Source organism: Homo sapiens, chromosome 18 (assembly GCF_000001405.40).
Source record: "Homo sapiens chromosome 18, GRCh38.p14 Primary Assembly".
Classification (NCBI taxonomy): domain Eukaryota; kingdom Metazoa; phylum Chordata; class Mammalia; order Primates; family Hominidae; genus Homo; species Homo sapiens.
The window spans coordinates 50,700,240-50,724,239 of NC_000018.10; the positions used below are offsets into that span (position 1 = coordinate 50,700,240).

Here is a 24,000-nt window from a genome sequence, read left to right on the forward strand (position 1 = left end):
ACAGACACTCCTGTCACTCAGGAAATTCCAAGGGTTTAGAAGCTTCCTCCAGGAACTGAGAATAAAGACCAGCCAAATTCTTTATGATGTATCAGGCAGTTAGAAGTAAATCAAACAACAACAACAAAATACCTAGTCCCTCTTGACAAACTCTCCATATAAATACACTGGAATACTCTACAACTGTGAAAGTGAATTAGCTACAGGTGCACACATCAACTGTTGCATATATTTCAGTTTTGCAAACCAAATTCACTGGCAGCGCTGTGTGATTAATAGTGACGCAAACATCAGCACTCTTCTGTGGGCCCATCTGCTGAGAGTGGGCAGGACCCACCAACCAGGGTTGTGGAAAACTGTGAAGCAGGCAGACTTTATCTTCAGAGCCCATACCCACCTCCTGTGCCTCTTCCCCTCCTCAGAGCCGCACCTCCCTCCAAGTGTCTGGGACATTTGCATTCTCTTTGCTTCCTCAGCTCTTCAAAACCCTCTCGGGTGCATTGCTAAGTGTGAAGGAGAAAATCCCTGCAGATTCTCTAGGCGGGAGTTGGGGGTGGGGGACAGGGAATTTGCTTCTCTAGCTATTCCACTCAAAGTTGCAACTGTGGGTTTTGGCCCTTGGTAAAGGAATTTAAGAGAGTAAGGTGACAGAGGAGGAAATCAAACCTTTTCTGGTGGCCGAAATTCTCACCAGCTTGTTTAGGTGAAGGACAGAAACACCTTTCAAAACCACACCAGCTCCCCCTGCAGCCATGCCCTTCACGTGTTCCCTCCTCTAAGGAATACCAGGGACCTCTTTGCAAACTCTCCAGCCCTCGAGATGATTTTCCTCCGCCTATTAGAACATGGGCCCTACCATGGATTAGATTACTTCAAAGAAGGTTCCTAGAATATGTTTCTGCTTTCCAAGCTTAAATTCTAACAAGACACCCCCACCCCCACCCCCATCCTCCTTGGCCATTATCCTCTTCTTTTGCCCAGCTTACTCTGGTCAGGGCCAGATTTACCGTGGAGTCCATGAAACTTAACCCCAAGGCCTCTCCTTTGCACAACCCTGACCAAGGCCCTGGGAGGGACCCTAACCTTGTGTTCACATGGTCATGTGTTTTTGTAATATTCACAAAGCAAGTTATTTTGAGAGCAATCTGTTAGCAAATGGGCTATTGCCATTCAGACTTTCCCTCCTGCTGGATGCCGCTTGCTTGGCTGGGCATTTGGGGGAGCTGACTTAGGGGAGGTTGCAGTGGAGATGCTTTTAGTTTTAGTGGGCTATGTTTACGTGGTTTGCAGTTACTTCTGTATGTGCAGTTAGGTTACTGCCAGCATTGTGGTGTAGGAATAACTTCTAGAAATCCTGCTAAGGCCCACGGAATCAACTCATGAGGTCCTCATGCAAACACGGCCCACCCTACAACTCATAACATGTGACTGCAACTAGGACATCATCAACAACTTGGTTAATGAGTGTCGTTAATTCAAAGAGAATAGAAGTTGAGTCACCACATAAGAAAATTAGAAACGCCCCCCAAATCTTATAGGTCATGTACAAAAGAACACTAAATAGAATTATTTCCCAAATTTGATAATCCAGAAAACTTATAAGGTAAAAGAACTTATAAATATCAGCCATACAAGGCTGGGCATGGTGGCTCATGCCTGTAATCCCAACGCTTTGGGAGGCCAAGGCAGGTGGATCGAATCACTTGAGCTCAGGAGTTTGAGACCAGCCTGGGCAACATAGTGAAACCCTGTCTCTACTAAAAACAGAAAAAATTAGCTGGGCATGGTGGTACACACCTGTGTTCCCAGCTACCAGAAAGGCTGAGGTGGGAGGATCGCTTGAGCCCAGGAGGCGGAGGTTGCAGTGAGCTGAGATCACACCACTGCACTCCAGCCTGGGTGATGGAGAGAGATTCTGTCTCAAAAAAAAAAAAAAAAAAAAAATCAACCATTCTAAAGTATCAACCACACTAGAAGAAAGACTTAGTTATCTTTTTAACTACCTAACTTTCAAAGACTGAGTTATCTTTCAAGCTGGGCGTGGTGGTGCATGCCTGTAGTCCCAGCTACTCAGGAGCCTGAGGTCGGAGGATCACTTGAGCCCAGAAGTTTGAATCTAGCCTAGGCAACATAGCAAGACCCTGTCTCTTAAAAAAATAAAGAAGCATATTACAAAATTGTCACAGAAGAGAAGATCAGAGATTATGCAGCATGTTTACATTTGCTGCCAGCAGTTTGCCAAGCAGCTAATTAGTAAAAATGTTATTTTTATGAATGGTGTGGTGTTTGTAGTATTTGCCAGCTTTTTATAATTTTTAATTTGCTGCAGTTCCTTTTCTGATTAAACATAAATATTCATTTTCATATCTAATTTTGTGTTCATGATTTTGTATTTTTAAGAGGCTCCCCAAACCAAGATCCACCCTGGCCCCTTTTCTGTTTCCTTCTTCATACAGTGACTGCCCCATCTTCCTGCCCTCATCTGGTGTTGACTGTGCCCTGGTTTCATGATAGTCTTTGCAGTTGAACCAGCATACTTACTGCCCAGAGCTGGAGTGTATGCTCCCTGAAGACAGTCCCCTGATTCAGAGTACCACAAACAGGGCCGGACCTACTGGAAACACTTTATAAAGGCCTGTTAAAAGAGCATCTGAAATGAGACTGTAATTCTCTCGAACAGGTGACCCGGGAGCTGCCTCCCAGTATGTGGGCACTTCAAAAGTGGTGTATCTGCCTGCAACTTGCAGGTTTTCCCAGAATACAAGAGTTTCTGCAGAAAAGATGTGGTTCCCTGTGAATAGTGTGATCCAAAAAGACCTTTCCCAAAGTCAGGGTCAGACAGGGTTACTGAGCCAAGAGTTGGATTTGGACCCTAACAGAAGCAACTCTGGAGACCCCTCTCAAATTGATCTCAAGACCTTTCTGCTGCCCTCCTCCCCATGCTCACTCCCCTTCTCCATCCCCACTGCCTGTACTTCTTCCCTGCCTGGCCAGCCTGGGCAGTGGTCTCAGTGCTACTCATTCAGCAGGCACCTCCTTCCTCCAGTAACCTGCACTCTCCACCTTGCCCAGCCTCCCTTTCCTAACCAAAACATCCCTGCTTTTCCAAGGGGCCAGAGCCTCTGTGGAGTGAAAGTAGCTGGCATTTCTAATGGCTTTTATAACACGCAGCCACCTGCCTTCAGCATCTTCTGTCTGCAGGCACCAGGCACACCAAGAGGTCCCAGCACTCAGGGGCTCTCAGGATAAGTGGGGGAGGCAGTGCGCCTCCATTCACACAGAGCATTCAGCAGGCGCCATAATATTAGTCTTGCTAACAGAAGACAGTGGGCTTAACAGGTCAGTATGTTTCCTCTCCCAGGTATCGAGTTGATATGTTGACAGGGACCTTACCCAGCATTCCTCACAGCCTGTCCTGAGAAAGACTGGTCCCCATGATGCACTTAGAAAAAAGTGGATAAGTGGTCAAAGAGGTTTGACAAGCACTACATACTAAATCCCCATCTAGAAGATTCTGAGACTTTATAAATAAGCTTCACTGGTTGTTGCCAGCCTGTCCCAAGGGTGTTTGGGCACACATCCTATCTCCCCTGCTAGCTATTAACATCTTTGGAATATGAATTCATTTCAGGAAACACTACCTTACTATCTTAACTAAAAACAGCAAGTCTGTAGGTGAGACTCCTGCACCCAGACAGGCAGGTGGTCAAGTTCAGGAGGAGCAGGGCATCCCCAGTGTTCCACAGGGAGCTACTTCCTGCCTACATTTAGGCTGGACCACCAGGAGCCTCCTCCTTCCCCACACCTGCCCTTTCCAGGCAGACCTTGTGACAGAGAGACTTTTAAAACTTCAGGTAAGCTCTCTAGGGCCCATTCCATTCCCTCCCACGCCATCTGTATAATGAGTCTACCTGGAGACTCCAAAATCTGTCACGCCCTCCAGACCCATCTAAGTTCTACCTCATCCCGCATCAGTAGAAAAAAGAAAGGCCAGACACGGTGTCTTATGCCTGTAATCCTAGCACTTTGGGAGGCTGAGGCGGGTGCAATGCTTGAGCTCAGGAGTTCGAGACCAACTGGCCAACATGGTGAAACCCTGTCTCTACAGAAAACACAAAAATTAGCCAGGCGTGGTGGTGCATGCCTGTAGTCCCAACTACTTGGGAGGCAGGAGGATCACTTGAACCCAGAAGGTCAAGCCACTGCACTTTAGCCTGGGTGACAAAGTGAGACCCTGTCTCCAAAAAAAAAGCAAGACAATCATGTGTGTCTCTCTCTTATTTCTCCTAGTCTACTGATTGCATCACAAGCATTGTGGGTCACATTCCAGAGCCTTCTGAGAAGGGAGAAGTCAGGGAAGTTCCTTTTGTTCTTCTGAGCGTTCTCTGCAAGTCAAACTGGGGAGAGTTCCAGTCCTGTGGGGTGGGAGCAGCTGTGAAGAGGCTGGAATCGGAGGGAACTTTGGGGCCTGGAGGCCTAATGGAGGACTCTGTGATGTTGGACTATGTTGTGTCGTTACCCTCCCTGCCTCTGCATCCTCTTCTGTGGAGCAGGGACAATGACAGCAGCCATCCTGGGAGAGCATCATGATGACCAAATGGAAGGAAACAGAGGGTGAGGAGCACCCCAAGCACATGGTCAGCACCTGGCAGGTGGCTGTTATTATTACCCACTCCTCAAAAGTGCTTTTGGACTCACATTTTCTTTCTTTCTTTTTGAGGGTGGAGGTGTAGAGAGGTGAAATAAAGCTCTGAGTCTGACCTCCAGGTTGGTCCCAGGCAAGATTAGCAGCCTGAGGGGTCCGGCTTCCACACGGTAGCATGAATAGCATGTTCAATAGAAAACCGGACCCATACCCCACACGGCAGAGGGCTAGGCTTGAGCACAGACACTACCTTTGTCCTGAGATTTCTACATGGCAATGAAACTTCGAGCTAATTTTCTCCTGACTGGTGGTCAGTTCCTGAATTTCATGGGCATATCAATCATTCCTTTAGCTCAACGTTTTTACTCCATTCATTCACCCGATTGTAAGTGAGCGCCTATCTTGTACAGAGGTGCACTGCAGACAGAGGGAAAACAACTGGCTCTTGCCTTCAGGAGCCCTCGCTGCCTCCCCTGCTATAGAGTTAATGAAGTTAGATGAAGGGGTCCAGGAGGCTGTGTGAACACAAAGCCTTGCCAGCTAAGTCAGAGAGGAGGGTCCTGCAGTAATATCCCCAAATGTAAAATGAAAAATAAATACCTTCAACAGGGTTCTCAGGAGGTGAGCTGAGCTACTGCTGGCAAAATCCCTTGTACAGAGTGGATGTCAACAAATATTCCCTCCCCTCCCTAATGTGCTCTCAGTTATGTACCTGGATGTTAATAAGGGAGCTGAGAGAAAAGTTTGCTAGGAGGGCGGAGAAAGTTTCCACCCTCCTCGGGGGAAGAGGTCGGGGACAGAAAGGGGAGGCCTGGGGCTCAGAGACCAACGTCTCATGTCTTCTACCACATGGCCACGTGGCTCGCCCCTTGACTCACTCTGGTCTCTGCTCGAATGTCCCCTTACATGAGAGGCCTTTCTGGACCACCCACCCCATCACTCTCTATCTCCTTACCCTGCTTTATTTCCATTCCTTGCACTTATCTCCACTAGACATATCATCCATTTGTTTGTTCAGCTGTCTTTCCATCCAAAGTGTGCACCTCATGATTACAGGGACTTTGTTTTGCTCACTGCTGGGATCAGATCTCAGCTCTGCCAATTATTAGTTAATTTGATCTTGCTCAAGTTAGCCCCATCTCTCTACCTGTTTCACAGGGTCATTTTGATAATTAAATGCACTATTAATAAAGCAGTACTTGGCACGGTGCCTGGCACATCATAATTTCTCAATAAACGATAGCTATTATTATGATCAGTGATTTTTCAGTAAATTTTTACTTCCTGTGGTTCAGCCATCTGGGGAAAACCTCTGCGGCTACTCAAGGATTTATCTTATCCTGAGGGGAGGTAGAAATAGAAACCTGTACTCATCCAGGAACCATGAAAATACTACTTACCTTTCCAAAGCAGGTGAACTCAAGACCTCTAGAGATGCTGGTTCTCAAATACAGCTACACCTTGGAGTCACCTGGGGAGCTGTAAAAAAATCACTGATGCCTGGTTCCCACCCCCCCGCCTCCGCCCCCACAGATTCTGATGTGATTGGCACAGCAGGAGTCCTGAACGTCAGTTTTTTTTTTTTTTTAAGTTCCCTAGGTGCTTCCAGCCTGTAGCAGGTCTGAGAGCCCGTGCTCTAGAGTGCCACCAGATTTCCCCTTGAAAGCCAGCGTGACAGATGTCTATTTGTGGCTTGACAGTTAATGCATCTTACTAAAAGAAGCCATTTGCACAAGGACTGGCCTATTAAAAATTAATCACTTTGGCCTAGCAGGGCTTCTCACTTAAAGATTGCTGTCCATTGTCATGCAGCACCCCAGGATGCTAATGCCCCACAGAGGAGAACTTGTAGCCCCTCCAGCAGCAAAATCAGATAAGGAAACTGAGGCAGAAGCAGCCCAACCAAATCATCCCTCCACCCACCTCTCTACCCAGCCCAGCCACTGGTCCTGGTGAGGATGGTGGTAATGGAGCTGCCAGTCCTGGTACATCACTGAACAAACAGAACATGTTATCCTGTCTTTGAACTGTAATAGGATTCAGAGTTCTTGATTTGGACCCCATGAGGATAATGTCCAAAGCTTTTATCAGACGGTGAGCTCTAGCTGAATTAGAAGACAACCACATTTCACCGAAGTGCTTTTTAAAAAGAAGCCCAACTCCATTGCTCCCACTTTCCTGCTGTTTAAAAGTAAGGAGAAGTACATTACGCTAAATGAAATAAGCCAGATGCAAAAGGACAAAGCCTGTATGATTCTGCTTCTGTGAGGTCCCTAGAGCCATCAAACCCATACAGATAGAAAGGAGCATGGTGGTTGCCAGAGGCAGGGGGCAAGAACAATGGGGAGTCATTGTTTAAGGGGGACAGACTTTCAGTTTTGCAAGATGAAAAGAGTTCTTGGCTGGGTACAGTGGCTCATGCCTGTAATCCCAGCACTTTGGGAGGCTGAGGAGGCAGGTGGATCACTTGAGCTCAGGAGTTCAAGAGCAGCCTCGGCAAAATGGCAAAACCCCATCTCTACAAAAAATACAAAAATTAGCAAGGCATGGTGGCCCGCACCTGTAGTCCCAGTCACTCTGGGGGGTTAAAGCCCGAGGATCGCTTGCAAGTCTTACTGGGAGACTGCAGTGAGTCATGATCGTGCCACTGCACTCCAGCCTGGTGACAGAGTGAGCCTCTGTCTCAAAAAAAAAAAAAAAAAAAAAAAGTTCTGGAGATGGATGGTGGCGATGGTTGTACAGCATTGTGAATATACTTAATGCCACTGAACCGTATGCTTAACAGTTAAAATGGTGAACTTTATGGTATGTGTATTTTATTACAATTAAATTTTTTATGGCAATTTTATTATAATTTTTTTAAAGTCAAAGAAAGTGACCACACAGGGCCTGGAGTGTCCAACAAGGGCCTGCAGGCCTATGGGAATTTATATGAGCTTTTGGTTGATTTCCATGGAAACCTGGGAAGAGATGGTGAATTTCAGGATCTGTCCAGGATCCCCCAGAGGGTGGAGTGGAGAAGGGGCAGCCCTGAAAGGGGATCAGCAGATCAGCATTTAGGGCATCTTAGAAGTTTATGAAAATTCAGTGCAGCTGATTTAGCCAAACGATTTCTTCACCCATGTTTACTTTAGCTGCGTAATAGAACGTGCCAGATGATTTCCCAGTGATTGCGATGTGAGCCAGGCTTTGTGATGTGTTCCCTCCCTCAATTTGAGAGAGTCCCTGCTGCATGCTTTCCTGCAAATAAGTTTAATGGAATGAGTTTGCTATTTGGCTGTGGTATTATTCCTTTTTAAAAAAGGTTTCTCACGTGCCTCATATGTACATTGGCACAAATAAGAATTATGCCTTCAGAGGGAGATGACTACAGAAGAGAGGCTGTATATGTCTGCTTCAGCGGGACCTCTGGGAGGATGTTGTTCTTCTAAATGATCTTTTGATGAGTGTCTGTAACTCAAAGAATTAACCCCTATTATAGGTCAGTCTGCTGCTCGGTTTGAGAAATCTGCCTGGCCTGTAAGTAAAGCAAATCATAATTTCTTAGGGCAGGCCAGTATCATAAAGACCATCTAGGAACTTGCTGGTCCAAGTGTGGTCATCTGAACCGCAACATCAGCATCACCTTGTTTAGACTGAGAAATGGAATCTGCGCTTAACCAGTCGAGGTCCTCAAGGGATCTGAGAGCACCCCAAAGTTTGAGAAGCCAAGCTTTAGGGTCTCCACCAGGAAGACGGTTTTGGCACATCTCTCCACGAGACTGTCTGTTCTGTGCTTGGACCCTCTGCTTGTCTAGACAGCCCAGGCCCCCACAGAAAGCCCTGGCAGCCTTAGAAGTCTCTCTTATGTGCGAGGCAGTGGAGCCCTCTATTCAGGTCAAAGGAGCTACATCTGCACAGCCTGGGGTTGAATTCCAGCTGTGCCACTTATAGGCTGTGTGAGTATGGACAGGCTGCTTACACTCTCTGTGCCTCAGTTTCCTCCCTGTAAAATAACTATGATGAGAGTCCCTACCTCATGGGATTGCTGTGAGGATGAAATGAGTTAATCCATATAAAGCAGATAAAACTGTCTGAGGAGCTCAATAAATGTTAGCTGGTATTATCATGTTGCATAGATTTCTGTCTCACACATTGGCTCTCGGCTGTCCCCAGAGCCTCAGAGAACAAGCTTAGCTCCTCTTCTACATGACAGCCTTGCAAATGTCTACAGGCAGCTCTCACGCCCACCCCTTCCATGTCCTCCAGACTGAAATTGCCAGGTTCTCGTGTGACAGGCCTTTGATTTCCACTGCTCCTCCACCGGGAGGGCTCCTGGGAACCCAGTCCCCTGAAAGAATCACAGTCTCCCTGCCACAGCCTCACTTTTCCCCTAAGTTTTTCTTCTTCCAAGGAAGTGCAGTGCCAGGGGCCTTCCTGAGGCCTTCCTGAGTCCATTAATCCCCTGCTCTCCAGACTGCCCGGGGAATTGGGGGAAGCGTGATGGGGTGGAGAGGGAGCACAGAGCCTGCAGCCTCCTTGCTCCACCAGTGCCCACCTGCTAGTAAGACTTGCAAGGGCCCCACTAGGGGCGCAGGCCTGCCCAGGCTAATTAGAAAAGCAGAGACACACATGGCCCTTCTGCAACCTACGCTGAAACGCCTTCCGCACTAGGAGGGGGCATTCGCCTCCCCTGGGGAGCTCATTCAAGATGGAGATTGGAGGACTCCAAGTCGGCAGCTCTGAGTGGTCTGCACATTCACAAGCACATCTCTTGGAGTGCTTGTGAATTCACAAGCATGTCATTGGGGATGGGGGAAGGCCTGGCAGTATGAAAGTGATGAGTGCAGGAGCCAGACACCCCTGACCACTTCCCAGTTACAGCACCTTGAACCAGTCATTTTATTAGTCTGTGAAGGGCCTGCATCAAATTCATGTAAAATACTAACACAGTGCTGGGCACAGGGTAAGTCCCACAGAAATGTTGGCCATGATTACTTCCTGGTCCTTACATTTTTTCCATATTAACATTTCATCTCTCTAACCATGTGAAATGCTCTTTGAAGACAAGGGATGATCTGAATCATTTTCCCATCCTTCACACAGGGACAGACACCTTAGGCTCCCAGGACACATTGCAGAAACTTCTGGTTGGGAAGGCGAGGCTGTCAGAGTCTCTTATCATCCTAGCCTGGAAACAGGGGCAGCCCTAAACATTGCTTCAGCATGAAAGGAAAAGCAACCCTTCCCACCCTGTCCTCATCCCCCAGAGCTAAAGTTGACTGGGCTTTTATTCTTGGAGAATGTCATCTCATTTAAATTCACCATACCATACCAGGCCAGGCACGGTGGCTCATGACTGTAATCCCAGCACTTTGGAAGACTGAGGTGGGAGGATTGCTTGAGCTCAGGAGTTCGAAACCAGCCTGGGCAACGTGGCAAAACTCTGTCTCTACAAAAAATACAAAAATTAGCCAAGCGTGGTGGCGTGTGCCTGTAGTCTCAGCTACTTGGGAGGCTGAGGTGGGAGGATCGCTTGAATCCGGGAGGCGGAGGTTGCAGAGAGCCAAGATGGCACCACTGCACTCCAGCCTGGGCAACAGAGCGAGACCCTATCTCAAATAAATAAATAGGCCAGGCGCGGAGGCTCACGCCTGTAATCCCAGCACTTTGGGAGGCCGAGGTGGACAGATCATGAGGTCAGGAGATCGAGACCATCCTGGCTAACACAGTGAAATCCCATCTCTACTAAAAATACAAAAAAAAATTAGCCGGGCGTGGTGGCAGGCACCTGCAGTCCCGGCTACTCAGGAGGCTGAGGCAGGAGAATGGCGTGAACCCGGGAGGCGGAGCTTGCAGTGAGCAGAGATAGCGCCACTGCACGCCAGCCTGGGTGACAGAGTGAGACTCCGTCTCTAAATAAATAAATAAATAAATAAATAAATAAATAAATAAATAAATAAATTCATCATACCCCTAAGGGATTAGTAGGCACATTATCATTAAAGGGTGTAGTAGAAAGTTTATTGGATTGAGCCTTCTCCCCCAACCTTCCAACTCCCACACGCAAGAGATCAGGCAGTGGGGGCACAGCAAGGGCAGGCACAGGAGACTTGGCTCCAGATCAGAACTGGTGCCCACCCAGCACGGGCTTGCTGGAGCAGCTGGGAGTGCCCACCCTTCTGGAGTGACTTTGATCCAGGCTGTTCTGAATTCCCTGGCAGGCAGCTGGGATCGAGGGCTGCTTCCCTGCTCCCTCTGCAAAGAGAATGCTCAGAGCTTTAATTATACCTTCTCTCTATCCTTCAGGGGCCCCTAATTATGCTCCTCACAGGGCAGCTGCTGCTAGATTATTTCCCAAACACCTCTGAAGCTTTTAAAGTCAAAGCCTCCCATGGGCTCTGCGTGACTCTAAAGGGACAGCAAAATGGGTGGATGGGAGCAATAGCTGACGAAAGTCCCAAGGCCCCTTAAAAGGGTCTAGAAAGGAAACCATGTTCATCTGCCTCCCAGTGGGCACAAGGTGGCAGGAGGAAATAGACGATTAGGAAGGGGCCACTCCCATCTTGTTTCTTGTGCTCTGAGTGGTGGTCACAGAGAACTGTGGGAGTGTGCACTTCATGTCTTCTCAGAGCAGTGATGTTACAAAGCCTCACACAAGAGGCTGGCCCCAGCTGGCCTGCAACAGCCGCGTGCAGACGCACCCACTTGTGCGCCAAGTGTGCCTGCTGTCCTGCTCACTCCCTCCTTGGCCACCCTGTGCATGGGCATGCCCTGCCTGGGGAGACCAGGTCTGATCACAGAGACATGTTCCTCTCTACATCCAAAAGAAGCTGAAACTATCCTCACCCTGCAGGCTTGGGCAGAGGGCTATTTGGAGATTTTTTTTGAGCCAATATACTTATTGATTTATGAGCTCTTTTAATAAAATTGGGTCTCGACTTCTGGGTATTCTTTAAAGTTTTTTTTTTTTTTTTGTAGAAAATTATCCTGAATTTCACCCCATCCACTCGACTGCAACTCCTCTCTTGAATTCTGATCACCAGTACCATGTTGTGGGCCCCAGAGCCTCTCCCATTCGGACACCCAGGGCTCAGCTCAGCTGACAGCAGGGCCCTGGTCCACTGTGTCTGCCCCCAGACCTGGGAATGGAGCTTCCCATATATTCCCATCTCCCCTTCCTGGGGCTTCTCTTGCACCAGCTTGGCAGAAGACACTGCACCTTCCCAAATTCTTCTCAGCCTTGTGGCTTCTGAAACATATCAACAAATCCCCTTTAAGTGTCGGGCACAGTGGCTCATGCCTGTAATCCCAGCACTTCGAAAGGCCGAGGTAGGCAGACTGCGTGAGCTCAGGAGTTTGAGACTAGCTTGGGCAACATGACGAAACCCCATCTCTACAAAACATACAAAAATTAACTGGGTGTGTTGGTGTGCGCCTGTGGTCCCAGCTCCTTGGGAGGCTGAGGTGGGAGGGTCCCGTGAGCCTGGGAGGCAGAGGTTGTAGTGAGCCACTGTTGCGCCACTGCATGTCAGCCTGGGCGACAGAATGCGAGAACCTGTCTCAAAGAAAACAAAAACAAACAAAAAATCCACTTTATGTTTTTTTAAAGAGTGTGAAGAACAAGTAACCATAGGAAGATAGCTAGTAGTTAAAAATTCAGCAGGCTCTTGTTTTTCATTAAAAAAAAAAAAAGGAAGAGCTGGAAAGCAACTTTCTTAGCTCCTATCATGACCTGGTCTGTAATTCTGGCCCAAGGGCAGCCTTACCCATGTCAACATCTTTCTTTTACTTTCAGAGCAAGTGTTTCAGAAGAAAGCCCCCTGTCCCCACTGTTCTTTAACCCTAGACTCTGAGGAGAGGCAGATGTCAATTCCAGACCATTCTGTTTCATAAAAGACTGTGCATTTACATATCAGAGAAAACTCCCCTGAAGCTACCTCCCCTCTGGGTACTCTTGCTTTAGTCTTTTCCCTGACAATCTCACCCTCTGACTGAAAATAAAACCAGACTATTTTTTTAGAACCCACCCACCTAAAAATGAACTTCTACAGACAGTATTTGGCTTGTTCCTGTAACTTTTAGAATCGAACTTAAATTCCTAACAGCCTACTGTACACACACCATGGATGAGTCTCAGATGCATTGTGCTAAGTGAAGGAATTCAGACTCAAAAGGCTACATACTGTCATTCCATTTATACAGAAGGTAAAATTAGAGAGACAGAAAAGAGCAGTTGCTAGGGGCTGGGACTAGGGGTGACCAAAAGAGGGCATGAATAAATTGTTTGAGATGATGGAATTGTTACGTATCTTGATTGTGATGGTGGTGACATGACTATGCTTTTGTCAAAACTCACAGAACTGGTGAATTTTACCCTATGTAAATTATACTTCAATAAACTTGACTTTTAAAGCAATTAAACTCTTATAAAAATGACATTGGCCCATCCTTTGTTGGAACAAGATAAGGCATAAGTGGCTATCAACTTATATAAACTCCACACCCACCTTGGAAAGTGGAACCTGGACCACCTTGTAGTCAAGTGTATAAAAGAAGAGGATCAGTGGTCCCTGCAGAAGGTGCCTAAATTTGGGAGGAGGTTCAGACCATATGAGATGTTTCCTTTTCATTCATTCATTCAACAGTTCAGCAGTGTTTACTGAACACTTCTTAGGAGGCATGGGGCTGGGCTATGCGCAGTAGCTGCATAACAAGACACAGCTGCTGCCCATGAGGGGCGCACAGTCTAGTGGTCCTTGGAGGGGTGGGGATGCAGAGAAGTAAAGAAACAGCAACAAAACAAGGAAACTTCTGAGAGGAAGCTGGCCTGAGCGTGTCAGCCGGTAGCACCATGAGTACGGGGATATCCCTCATGGAATGTACACTGTCAAATGCACAAAGGACAGAAGAAGAGGGCACATTCTACAAATTTTAAGGAGTTCATTTTGGTGAGAGTATTGAGGCCAGCGTATGGGATGCTCTATGATTTCCAGCTGAAGGGTGTCTTCTGCTTTTCCTCCTTCCTTCTACCAGTTTGAGGCTCTACTCGGAGGAAATATGTGCCACAGAGGGGAGGAAACTGCTGTCCTTTCCAAAGGTTTTAGACATTTAATAAATCTTTGCTGAACAAATTAAGGGATTTCAGATTAATAGGTCAAAAGCTCCTGGGTCCTGGCCTTCTTAACTTTTCATCTGCTTTAACCTGAGACTGTGATACTTCTGCATCAGTAGAAAGGAAAGTGTGAATGCTAAACTGCGAAGTAAAAGACCATCCCTGGAATCTCCCATTGGATCTCCTTGGTCCTAACTGTCTCACCTTGACCCCCAATGGATCTATACATTTTTTTTCTTACATTAGAAAGACTGTTCTAGGGAATTCAAATGGACATTTCCCAGATGTCACTCTTGGCCCAGTTTTCTGAATTATGTAGAAAACAATTTCTAAATTCCCTGGGTATATTTTCCTAAATCATATATGGGTATATGTCCTCGCTATATACCATAAGGAGGGAGTCCATCTCAGACCACAAATCACTGAGCCATGGGCAAAATCAGCTAGAACATTTATCCCCCAGAAAGACACAGTCAGACTCCGAGAATCTCATGGACCAACGAAAGCTGTGTCCACTTTGTTGTTCAGGACTGCTTCCACATAGCATTTTCCTGCATCCATTATGAAGATGGTCTTATCTGTTCTCAGCAAGAGCCTGGTGCCTGGCTTTGTGGCAGCATTAATTCTGATCTTCAGTGTCAAAGCAACCAGCTTGAGTTCAAGCATATGGCTAATTCTGAGATTCATCCACTGGATACAGAAAACGCCAGAGTCTCATGGTTACTCTGTTGCTAGCAGTAATGAACTTGAGCAGGGCTCCTGTTTCTCCATCTTCTTACTAGACAAGGGCAGAGTTACATCAAGGTGGGGTGGGAAATCATTTCTTCTAAAATATTAATAACCTGAATTCCTTTCTATAAAGGAGAACCCTCGGATCTCGTAAGATTCTCTCACCAAAGCATTTCAACCCCACAAACCAGGCCCAGCCCCTCTAACCAGACGTCTGTTCACTCATGCTCCTTCAAGATCAATGGGAAAGGGGCAAGAATGAAAGGGACCCTGAAAGAGGTCTGTTTCATGGGAGGGGAAACTGGAAGAGGCGTGGGAGGAAGGGTATCCAAAAATGACTGATCAGTGGAACCAGAAATTTTGTCTTTCAGGGTTATCTGTCAGAAGGGTTGGTAACAAAGTGGTACCGTTCCCCACGACTGCTCCTTTCCCCCAATAACTACACCAAAGCCATCGACATGTGGGCCGCCGGCTGCATCCTGGCTGAGATGCTTACGGGGAGAATGCTCTTTGCTGGTGAGTTGCTAACTATGCCACCTTCCTTCTCATCTGGCGTCGTTCCATAGAAAGGGGAACTGAGTGCAAAACACTTACAATCACAAAACATGCTCATCTTTTGCTGAAATTACTTCTGTGGCTTTTATGACACTATTTGGAGGCACCTTATTATATTGTCAGGCAAAAATACTGGAGAGGCTAAAAAAATAGTAGCCTTTTGAGCACAGAAGTTTTTGCAATCAAGTAACTACTTTGCTATGACCTAAATGCTTGTGTTCCCCTAACATTCAAAGGTTGAAATCCTAACCCCCAAGGTGATGCTATTAGGAGGTGGAGCCTTTGGAAGGTGATTAGGTCATGAGGATGGAGCCCTCATGAATGGGATTAGTGCCCTTGTAAATGAGGCTGGAGGGAGCTTGTTTGCCACTTCCACTGTGTAAGGACACACTGAGATGGCATCATCTATGAAGTATGGGCCTCTCACCAGACACCAAATCTGCCAGCTCCTTAATATTGGATTTTCTAGCCTCTATAACTGTGAGAAATAAATGTTTGTTGTTTATATGCCACCTAGGCTATGGTACTTTGTTATGGCAGCCTGAATGGACTTAGACACACTTCTACTCAAACATCTTGAGACTGATGGCTGCAAACACACCCACCCTACATTTTTAGCCCCTTCCTCCTCCCTCCCTGCCACTGTTCCCTGTCCTTCGGCCACACCAAGTGACCCACTGTTTTCCTAATCTATCATCATTTTTTGTTCACTTTGGCACAAAGACCTCCTTCTCTGCTTAGAAAACTCCTAGTGAACCTTCAAAACCCAGCTTATGTCTTGTCCTCCATGACGTCTCTCCTAATTCCCCAGGGCATGAGTCATCCTTCTTGGCTCTCCCATTGCACTTCATACTCATTCTCGCACTCTCCCTCTTTGCTAGGAAGAGCACTTGCTCTCTTCACTCCCTCTCTTCCATTCTCTCCTCACTCTGCAGCATGGTTCACGCCCCCTCCATCTGTCTGAAGCTGTTCCCACCCAAACTGCCGTGTTCTTAATCCAGGGAACCCATTTCAGCCTCATTCTGTAGCAGTAGTCAGCGACGACTGTCACCTCCTTCTTGAAACCCTCTTCCCTGGGTCTCCTCCTCCCTCTCTGGCAATCCCCCCTCAGTTGCTTCTCACCCACCATGAGCTCTACTTCCTCTGCACTATGTCCCTCAGCCCTTCCCAAGTTTCCACACTCAGCCCTAAATGCTGCTGTCACTTACTCAAAGAATTTTCATCCATCCCCTCCACCCAGGCTAACTTTGTAGAGGCTGGAAGCCCAGAAATGTTCCAAACCACCGTTGGTAGAGGACCATGGTGAGGCCAGTCTCCACACGCTCTGGCTGCAGCATGAGCCCCGTGGGCCTGCCTCCTTGCCACCTGTCCTCTGCCTGGATTCCATGCCCCTACAGAACTCCGGGCCTCATATCCGGTCCTCCTGGCTGACCTCTCTTCTCAGTGCTTGCAGCCCCGCCCTGTCCTCCTAACCATGCTGTCTTGGCCTCAGCCTCCCTGTGAGTGCTCTCCCCACCTCCTCAGCCTGCCCTGCTTCTCCTCAGGGGCACCGTCTCCCCTCAGCTCTGTTGAGTTGAGGCCATCCTTTCTCCCATGCCCTGTACACAGAGCGGGATAGAGCCTCTGCATCCTCCTTGCTCACCATTGCTTGCCTGCTATTAACAAAGCAGCCCTCCTCTGTGGCCTACCAGATGGCCCCTCTTCTTCTCTATCTTGTCCTCCCGTGCCAGCACCTCATCTCATCTCCCATCATCCCCCACACTGAGGCTGTTGGCACCTACGTCATGGCCTCCCTCTCCACAATTGGTCCCACATCATTCTGGCTGTGAGGCTGATGTGACTCACTTATCTACTATCCTGACACAGAGCCCCACATCCTCAGTTCCTGGGACACTCACTGCCCTTGTTGTCAGCCTGTCCTCCCCACATCCACCCTGGACTTTGTGTCATCACCCAGAACTGCTCAGGGGAGGAGAGATCTGAAGCGAGTATCAGAGTGGCAGACGCTGGGGAGCTGAGTGTCCAGGGAATGGAAAAGGGCACGAAAGCTGGAAGGCCTGAGAAGTACCCACCCACCTCCTTGCTTGATCATGACTGCAGTGTGGCCCAGGGGGAGCGTGTTTTCTCTTGGCAATCAGCTTACAGGAGGCATGGCCAGCACTCATGGCCTGCATTGGTAGGCCTAGGCTCCTGGGGCTACCCCACACTTCCATGTTGGGAAGGGAGGGGGAGAGTGAGGGAGTAGGATAGCCTTACCCCAGCCCCCTTTCAGAACCCCAAGACCTAGTAAGATTCCCCCCACTAAAGCCCCTGAATCCCACAAAATATAAGACAGCAGTGGCCCTTCTAGTATCCCCTAAGAGCAAAGGTGTGTCCTTAGCATCCATGTGGGCTCCCTCCACCCTGAAATCTCTGTCTACAAACCTGAGCCTGCAAGTGGCAGGGCTAATCAAGATTCCCTGTGGCCCCACGGGGAGCCGACAATCTCAGTTGCTGGCCTGTTGTTCTTGTTCACTGTAGAGTGACCACATATGGGCAGCTGGTGTAATAATTAGCTCATGGGCACTGCAGACCACCTAAGCCCACAGGTGAAAAGGAGCTGCCCACTCACCTGTCAAAGCCCCTGGCTCTCACAGCTGCTCATCTGCTGTGTGCACAGAACATAGTGCTAAGGATGGGGAGAGGGATTGCTGTGGGACAAAGGGACAGTGAGGAGGCAGGGGGAGAAAGTCAGACAAGGGCCTCTCCAGGGAACTTATGGTCTTGAGACAGAATTTTAGATGCCAGCCCTAGAAGGGGCCCAGGACAGCCCACCTCTTTTTTAACAGGTGATTTGGTTTCAAATAATGCAGGGTGGGAAAATGAGCCCAGAGAAGAAGAAATGGCTAACAGTGGCCTTTCTGAGGGAACACCAGCAGGACATTAAGAGAAAGCCATGTCTGAATAGCTAAGAAAGTCTTTATTGTGTTTTGTTTTTGAGACAGTCTCGTGCTGTCCCCCAGGCTGGAGTGCAACGGCATGATCTTGGCTCACTGCAACCTCCACCCCCCATTTCAAGCGATTCTCATGTCTCAGCCTCCCGAGTAGCTGGGATTACAGGCATGTGCCACCACACCCAGCTAATTTTGTATTTATAGTAGAGACGGAGTTTTGCCATGTTGGCCAGGCTGGTCTCAAACTCCTGACCTCAAATGATCCACCTGCCTCAGCCTCCCAAAGTGCTGGGATTACAGGCATGAGCCACTGCACCCAGCCTGCCAAGAAAATATTTATATTGGGCACAGTTAAATCTTAGGCACCATAGGAGCAGATTTATCTAATAAGGAGTAATGAGAGACCCAGAAAATGTAATCTCTCAATCACAGCAATGAGGGAATTATTCAGTGCTATGCTGGGCTAGTCACTCTTTCATTCATGATGCTAACTTCTTCCAGTAAGTATTTAAAATACATGCTATATATAAAACATATATTAATATGATATGTTAATATTAATTATATGTTAATGTAACATTAAGTAACAAGAAAAGGTAAAATAGGTTGGGCATGGTGGTTCATGTCTGTAATCCCAGCACTTTGGGAGGCCGAGGTGGGCGGATTGCCTGAGGTCAGGAGCTCCAGACCAGTCTGGCCAACATGGTGGAACCCCGTCTCTACTAAAAATACAAAAAAATTAGCTGGGCGTGGTGGCATGCACCTGTAATCCCAGCTACTTGGGAGGCTAAGACAGGGGAATTGCTTGAACCAGGACGGTGGAGGTTCCAGTGAGCCGAGATCGTGCCACTGCACTCCAGCCTGGGCGACAGAGCAAGACTCCACCTCAAAAAAAAAAAAAAAAAGGTAAAATAAAAACAATGGCAGGAAAGTCAGATGAAGCTGAAGTCAGGGCTTATGTCCAAACATTTAGGCCCTGAGTACAAACGTCTTCATTTGCCCCCTGGACTCTCAGGAGCCCCTACAGTTTTCCCTCTGGTGGATTTTGTGCTTTGGGTGGATCCTTGACCACGTGCTGGGGATACAAGTCTGAGTAAGACATAGTCTCTGTCCTCAAAGGTCTGATGGTCCAGCAGGGGACACAAAAGGGTTAAAAACAAAACAAAAAAAAATACACAGTGAACCTATCTGTGCCCAGGGTGAGCCATCCTGCTATCTTATTTTTCCAACTGAAATTGCACAGACCTCCCAGTTCCGTATTTTCCAGCCAATTCAAGGCAGGGGAGAAAGGAGGAACAGGTGGGAGGGAGGTCTCGCCCTGGACTCTGACTCAAAGACTCTTCCCACCCTAGCCATAGCCACTAAACCCTGGATGGCTCAACATCTCTGGCCCTGCCCCCACGATCTGGGTCATAGGTGCCTGGCTGCCTCCATTCTCCCAGCCTTGAACCCTCAGCTCACAGGGCTGTGCTCCAGCTGCCCTTCCAACAGGCTGACAACCTTCAGGCCAGACGGAGAAGAGCTGGGCTTCTCCATACCACAGCAGGCAGGTGACTCACTGAGAGCCCAGACGAGACTGTATAATCCACAGTCTATTGGCCTCTCATCTTCAGGCTCACTGTCTGTGGTCACGAGATGGTCGCAATCGCTTTCAGGTTCTCATGCAGAAGTGTCCAACGAAGAAAGGTAGGGAGGGGTCAGCCAGGGCAGCCAAACAGCTCTCCTCACATTTCTCTCTTACCAGGGAGGAACACCTTCCCCGGAAGTCCTTCCAGGAGATTCCTGTCCCTGTTTGATTGAATCACATGGCCTCCCCTTATTGCAAGAGAGGCAGGGAAGGCAACAGCTGGTGTGACATGGAAAGGACCTTCTTTCAGTAGGAAAGGGACATTGACCATAGTATCCTCCATGCTTCACACCTTCTCCCATTTTCAGTGGTGGCTTAGTAGACTCAGTGTTAAGATGCCTCCCCCAAGTGACGTCTGTCACAAAGAATCACTCACGGATGATTAGGACATAAATCCCCAAGGTGGAATTATTCCATCAGCTTCTCTCAAAGCCACTCTTCCCCACTCCTAGAAGCAAAGGAAGTCAAGAGTTATTAAACATCTGCTACAAGCAAGGTATTTCTCCCGGAGCCTTCATCTGCCAACACACTTGACTCCTTATAATACTCATTCCAAGTATAAATAATCATCCTCATTCCACAAGGGGTGGGGGAGCTAGGTCTGCCTCCAGGGCTGTCTGCCACCAAAGCTCTTGCTTTCCGCCCCAGGCCATGGATTCCCAGGGAGGCCCCACTGGCTGCCTCCCATATGACACCATTGATCTCGGGCAGGAGCAGACAAGTGAAAGAGGCTCATTCTCTGCCCCCACCCCCGCTGTGGTTGAAGAAGCTACTCCAAGCAGAAGGTTGTGTATTACTAGTTTGTGTGTCACACAGGAGAGGGGTCAGGGGCTTGGGAGCAAGGTCCCACCATCTCTGTCTGCAGCTTGATCACCCATTGACCTCATGGTCCCCTGGTGGGTGGTGTGGAGTACACATTTGGAGAGAGGACCCCACAGGGGGCTTCCAGAGCCCTGAACTGACCCAATGAGTCCACTGCAGGGAGAGGCCAAAAGGACCTCTTCAGGAGAGAGCCTGAGGCTGCAGGCACTTCTTCGGTCAGTATTCACATGTGCTTAGGGCCACACAGGGAACTGTGGGGGCACCTGGGAGAGCCCTCATCCTAGGCTGGATGACTGGAAGACTGGAATCCCATGGGAATTCATGGCAAGGGGAGGGCCCTCTGTGCAGCTGGATGGGCAGGGAAGACTTCTTGAGGAAGGAGAGGTATGGCTGAAGTTTTAACCTAGTACAGCTAAGTGGAAAGGCAACTCAATCAAAAAAGAGAAAATGGAAGTACAGAAGAACAGCCTGGAGGTCAGAGAAGGACAGCAAGGAGACCCATCTGTCCAGAGCCAGAAATGCCATACGGTGGCCAGTGGTTGTCTGGGTGTGGGAGGTGAGTTGAGTTTCTGAGACAAAGACTGAAGCTTCTTATGAATGAAAACTATGCCTCACCGATTCCCAGCAGTCAGCGTGATGCCTGGCATGGAGAAGGTGCTCGATAAATAACTATTTATGGAATGAGGGAATAAATGAATGTTTGAGTCCATCCTGTCCCACCAAAGTGCCCCTGCAAACCTGGCATAGCCTGGCCTGCCTTCCTTCTCCCAAGGATCACAGAGGCCATGTGCTCAAGATACATCCCAAACCCAATTTGTTATTCCTGATTTGTTTTTCTCTTGAAAGTTTCCTAGATGGAACCCTCTTAATTAGAAACCAAAAGGTATGGCTCATTCCCAGCCTTAAAACTGTTTCCTTCCCCATCCTAGTAAAGATTGTGCAGAGAGGTCTATGGGAAGTTGCACTTGGAAGGCCTTGAGCCAGGCTGTTCCCATTCTTTAGTGCTGACTTATATCCAGCTGGTCTGAGACACAGAATGCTAGGGGAATAGATGGGGCCTTGCAGACTACCAGATTCAACTCCCTTTTTCTACTTTTGACAAAGCCAAGCCCCAGAGATGTCAGCCACCTGCCCACAGTTGAGCAGCAAATGAAGACCAGAACCCCGGTCCCAGCCCAGTGCTGCCCCACTGCCCTGTGTTGTCCCTCCCAGAACACCTGGCACTGCTTTTGGGCTACTGCACACCACAGCCCCTTGGACAGCACACTTAACCATCTGGCATTGCCTCCCCAGGGGCCCATGAGCTGGAGCAGATGCAACTCATCCTGGAGACCATCCCTGTAATCCGGGAGGAAGACAAGGACGAGCTGCTCAGGGTGATGCCTTCCTTTGTCAGCAGCACCTGGGAGGTGAAGAGGCCTCTGCGCAAGCTGCTCCCTGAAGTGAACAGTGAAGGTACCTGAGCCTGGCAGCCAGGCCAAGTGTCCTGGGAGGATGAGCTAGGCTCCACCTTGCGGGGTAGGGGGCAGGCAGGTCTCCTTCCAAAAGGGCAAAGCATGGTCCTTGGATATAAAAGTCAAGGCTCCCCTGCCAGTGGGCCTTTGCCCTAACTACTTCCAAGCTGTGGATGCTGGGCCTCAGGAGTCCATTAGGGGCAGTCATTAGTGTTCTACCCTTGTTTCTGCTGCCTTTTGCTTCTCATCTTCCTTGCTCACCTTCCTCCCTCTCTTTCCTTCATCCTCCCTCACATTTTTGTCCTGGAAGGCTTGGTGTGCTGCAAAGAACAGGAGCTTCCTCAGCCTGAGGGCAAGACCCAGGTCCCATTCCACCAGTGATGAGCTGTGTGGCCTCAGGCAAGGACCGCCCTTCACTCCTCAGGCTTACTCCCTCTACTGTATATTCAAGGCTCAGCAGGCCTGGGAAGAGGCCAAAGGCTCTAGCTGCCTCTAGCTCTCAGAGGCTCAGGAGACCCAGTCTCGGTGACAGCATCCCTCAGCAGCCGAAACGTCCATCTTGTGACAGGTGCAGAACAAGGGAGGCAGGCCCCAAGACCACACTGGGGGCATTAATTCTGAGCTCCATTTATTACAGGACAGAAATAGACCAAAGGTGATGAATCTGATGACAAAAACTCAGGTGCGGCACAGGTGAAAGGCGGGCTCTGGATGAAGCAGGGTTGAGGGGCTCAGTGTCCTGCCCACCTGCCTCTCAATCTCCAGACATGCTCCTGAGAACCCTTCCAGAACCCCTGGGGCTCTGAGCAGCTCAGTTTGGAATCCACTGGGCCAGAGGAAGGTGACAAGATTGTACAGAAGCTTCATTATCTAAGAAATGACTTAAAAACATCCGGGGAGGGTGAGCCTAGGGAGGAGGAGTTTCTGAGGGGCGGTGGCTTAGGAGTTAAGGTGAAGCTTGTACAGTAGCAGATAACCCTGAAATCTCCGTGGCTTAACCCACTTACAGTTTATTCATTGTTTACTTCACTTCCAGGCAGAGTTGGGAGCATGGATGGGCAGGGGAGGATGAGTGGCTGTGCCCGGGACCCAGGCCATCAGGTCTGCCATCTTCAGCAGGTGGCTTTCAAGGTCACCTTGGGCATTCCCTTCCAGCCAAAGCCAGGGGAAGAGAGAGCAGAGACTCTTGCAGGAGGTTTTTCTGGGTCAGGCCTGGAAGTGGGGTACACACAGCACTTCCACCCCCATTCCATCAGCCCCAGGCACACAGCCATTTCTCACTGCAGGAGGGGCTTGGAAAGGCAGGTCAGAAGGGTGCCAGGATGGATGTCACATGGGACATGACTGCTGCCTTGAAACAGAAGAGGGGAAATCGTGGGACAGAGAGGACATGCTGCTTTGGGGAAACCACTGAAGGCAGAGGTAGGCCCTAGGGTAGAAGTTAAAGGGGGATTTAAGTTTGATAAAAGGAAGTATTTTCTGGGGCAGGTGTGGTGGCTCAAGCCTGTAATCCCAGCACTTTGGGAGGCCGAGGCGGGCAGACCTCTTGAGCCCAGGAGTTTCAGGCCAGCCTGGGCAACATAGGGAGACCCCATCTCCACTAAAAATATAACAAATTAGCTGGGCATGGTGGCGCACACCTATGGTCTCAGCTACTTGGGAGTCTGAGGCAGGAGGATCACCTGAACCTGGAAAGTTGAGGCTGCAGTGAGCCGTATTCCCATCACTGTACTCCAACCTGGATGGCAGGAGTGAGACCCTGTCTCAAAAAAAAAAAAAAAAGAAATGAAGAATTTCCTAGTGTTTGGGCTTCCCAGAAGTATCTGGGGACCTGCAGGAGGATCAGCTGTCAGGGAGAGGGAAGAGCAGATTTTCATCCGTGATGGAGTCTGTGGAGCAGCTTTGGGGTTGGTACTCGACTTTTTTTCTTTTGCGACAGGGTCTCACTTGTCACCCAGGCTGGAGTGCAGTGGTATAATCATGGCTCACTATAACCTCAGCCTCGAGGGCTCAAGTGATCCTCCCACCTCAGCCTCCCGAGTAGCTGGCACCACAAGCATGCGCCACCTTGGCTGGCTAATTTTAAAATTTTTTTTGTAGAGACAACCCACTACTGGCCCACCTGGCCAACTACTACTCGT

General features: G+C 48.8%; 1 protein-coding gene and 1 long non-coding RNA gene across 12 annotated transcripts in view, besides 2 other annotated features; both read left to right on the forward strand.

The window, feature by feature from the left end:
* Positions 1–24,000, forward strand: part of MAPK4 (mitogen-activated protein kinase 4) — a 172,215-nt gene that overhangs the window by 140,628 nt on the left and 7,587 nt on the right. For 8 of the 11 annotated variants that reach the window (XM_017025839.3, NM_002747.4, NM_001292039.2 and 5 more), the window contains 2 exons: positions 14,840–14,984; positions 21,699–21,860. In XM_017025839.3, the coding sequence (XP_016881328.1) occupies positions 14,840–14,984; positions 21,699–21,860 (307 nt within the window). The other 3 variants (XM_011526077.2, XM_011526078.2, NM_001292040.2) reach the window with 3 other exon arrangements.
* LOC124904302 (uncharacterized) lies at positions 4,204–5,900 on the forward strand. The gene is made up of 2 exons (XR_007066369.1): positions 4,204–4,614; positions 4,721–5,900. It is a non-coding gene; the product is annotated as an uncharacterized LOC124904302 (long non-coding RNA).
* Positions 21,237–21,737: an enhancer, noted in NCBI's record as "H3K4me1 hESC enhancer chr18:48247846-48248346 (GRCh37/hg19 assembly coordinates)". NCBI's record gives its function as "activates a minimal SCP1, AML or CMV promoter by ChIP-STARR-seq in naive H9 embryonic stem cells {active_cell/tissue: H9 hESC(naive)}" and the evidence as "EXISTENCE:reporter gene assay evidence [ECO:0000049][PMID:30033119]".
* Positions 21,738–22,238: an enhancer, noted in NCBI's record as "H3K4me1 hESC enhancer chr18:48248347-48248847 (GRCh37/hg19 assembly coordinates)". NCBI's record gives its function as "activates a minimal SCP1, AML or CMV promoter by ChIP-STARR-seq in naive H9 embryonic stem cells {active_cell/tissue: H9 hESC(naive)}" and the evidence as "EXISTENCE:reporter gene assay evidence [ECO:0000049][PMID:30033119]".